The sequence below is a fragment of the Homo sapiens genome, chromosome 2, assembly GCF_000001405.40.
Source record: "Homo sapiens chromosome 2, GRCh38.p14 Primary Assembly".
NCBI lineage: Eukaryota > Metazoa > Chordata > Mammalia > Primates > Hominidae > Homo > Homo sapiens.
The window spans coordinates 207,483,126-207,485,385 of NC_000002.12; the positions used below are offsets into that span (position 1 = coordinate 207,483,126).

Sequence of the window (2,260 nt, forward strand, 5' to 3'; positions counted from 1 at the left end):
TTAACTTGGTTAAAAGTTACTTTAGAAAATATTCAAAAATAAACATACTAAATGAAGAATCAAACTCAGAAAAACTTGCCTGGCACTTACTCAAGTTATGCAAACTCATAAATAACTAGGAGATGAAGTTTGGTACTGATGAATTGCTGCATAGCATGGGAAATTTATTTTCTAGGGCAGTCTCTGGCTTTTAGAAGCTTAAATTACATACATCTCTTAAATACAAATGACTGCACCAGCCAGTGGGTTCCTAAAACTCCCCTTTCCTCTCCACTGTCACTACCTAGAATTTCTTTCTCCTGTCTCTCCTCTTTCCTCCTCTTCCCCAACTATAACCCTTGTGCTATGGAGGCCCCAATCTGCAGGGGTAGTAGAGATGGAAACAAATGTGAGAGAAGAATAAAGAGTCAACCTTCATCGCTCATTTCTTCTGTCCCTCTGTGCTTTGTAACTTCTCGAATCACCTATTGAGGGCAGGGGGAGGGGCCCTCCTTATGACTTCATACAACCTGCTTCATGATCTGGCTTCTAGGCATTTTTTCTTGTGTCATTGCCTAAAAAGTTGACCAATTCCTAGGAGGAACCCTACTCAGTTCAGTGTGGGCATCAGCCCAGTGTGGGTCTAGCTCCTGCCTGACCTCCTGGGATGAACATTCTTCCCACGTGCGGTTTCCTCATTTCACATCTTCCTGACTACACACTGAGCAACTTGAGATCAGAAAATGTCATTCATTTTTTGTAACTTCAAGGACCAGGAGGCTTGCTCAGTGTCTGGTGCTAAACTGGCAAAAAAAAAAAAAAAAAAAAAAAAAAAACACGCAGTGCTTAAAAAATATCTGCTGTAGCATTACTAAATGACCCTGGCACCTCTCCAAGTGCCTCATCCCAGAGACCCTACTCTTGCCCTCACCCTGCACGCTCCCCACCAAAAGTTACTCTTACATTGTAAAGAAGAAAGATGAAGTTAATTGAGTTGATATGGTTATAGATAACAGCCAACATTTAGTCAGCCTTTATGCTGTCTACATACTATTGTAAATATGCTACATCTATTGTGACCTTTAATTATTGAATCAACCCTCTGAGGTCTTGATGCTCTTCCTGAGTTAGAACTCCAGAACATATGTTCTCTACTCCGTTAATAGCCACTGACAGAATATAGCCAGGCATTAAAAAACAAGCATGACAACTAGGTAGGAGCATAGAGAATAAGAAGATAAAAAGCATATGTGCCTATAATCTATAGCTATTGAAATATATCATTGTAACAAGAGCTGAAAAGGAATGCCCAATGATAAGCAGTCTTTTTAAATATGTTATTATTGTTTTAAAAAAAACTTATAATATAATTCAAAGGTACTTTTAATGAGCTGGACCTATGTTTCAATGAATATCAGAACCAACGGTTAATGGAGGCTCTTAGAGAATGCTTGAAATTCTTAACTCTCCTTTTGCTTTTTATTTTTAGTCTTTGCCTTCTTTGCCAAATCCCCAAGCTGAGTGCTCACTTCAGACGCTGAGAAGAATGGAAGTGGGGGAGGAGAGCTAACACTTGTTGAGATTGGTAGGGAGGGACAACTAATGTTGCTTCCATCTTGTGTAAAATGTATATAAACACATCTTCAAATCTTTCTTTCCAACCAAACCCTCAGCCCCACCTAGAAGGAAATTACGGAGTCACCAGTAACTGAGTGTCTACTGTGTGGCAGGCTCCAGGAGGCTCCGTGGCACAGTGGCTTTTTCAACAGTGGAACAGAAGAGGTAAGTCAGGTTAGAAACCACGTAGCAGTAAATGAGGAAGTAAAAGAAGTCTTAGCAGAAAATCAGTGAGGGATGACTCCAAAGCAGATTGAGAATCAAGAGTTATTTCAACTTGGCCAGGTGGGGTGGTTCACACCTATAATCCCAGCACTTTTGGAGGCTGAGGCAGGCAGATCACTTGAGGTCAGGAGTTCAAGACCAGCCTGGGAAACATAGTGAAACCCCATCTCTACAAAAAATACAAAAATTATCTGGGCATGGTGGCATGCGCCTGTAATCCTAGCTACTCAGGAGGCTGAGTCACAGGAATGCTTGAACCCTGGAGACGAACGTTGCAGTGAGCTGAGATCACCTGGGTGACAGAGCAAGACTCTGTCTCAAAAAAAAAATAAAAATAAATAAAATAAAAAATAAAAGTTATTCCAACTCAGGGATTTGTGCTGGCAGATTTGGCCCCTCCCGTATCTCTGTATCTCCTGATCCCGAATTCCACTACCAT

The 2,260-nt window shown here is 41.0% G+C and overlaps 2 annotated features.

Moving 5' to 3' along the window:
• Positions 1,574–1,643: an enhancer, noted in NCBI's record as "active region_17037". NCBI's record gives its function as "activates an Ori minimal core promoter by ATAC-STARR-seq in GM12878 lymphoblastoid cells {active_cell/tissue: GM12878}" and the evidence as "EXISTENCE:reporter gene assay evidence [ECO:0000049][PMID:35858748]".
• Positions 1,874–1,923: a silencer, noted in NCBI's record as "silent region_12275". NCBI's record gives its function as "represses an Ori minimal core promoter by ATAC-STARR-seq in GM12878 lymphoblastoid cells {active_cell/tissue: GM12878}" and the evidence as "EXISTENCE:reporter gene assay evidence [ECO:0000049][PMID:35858748]".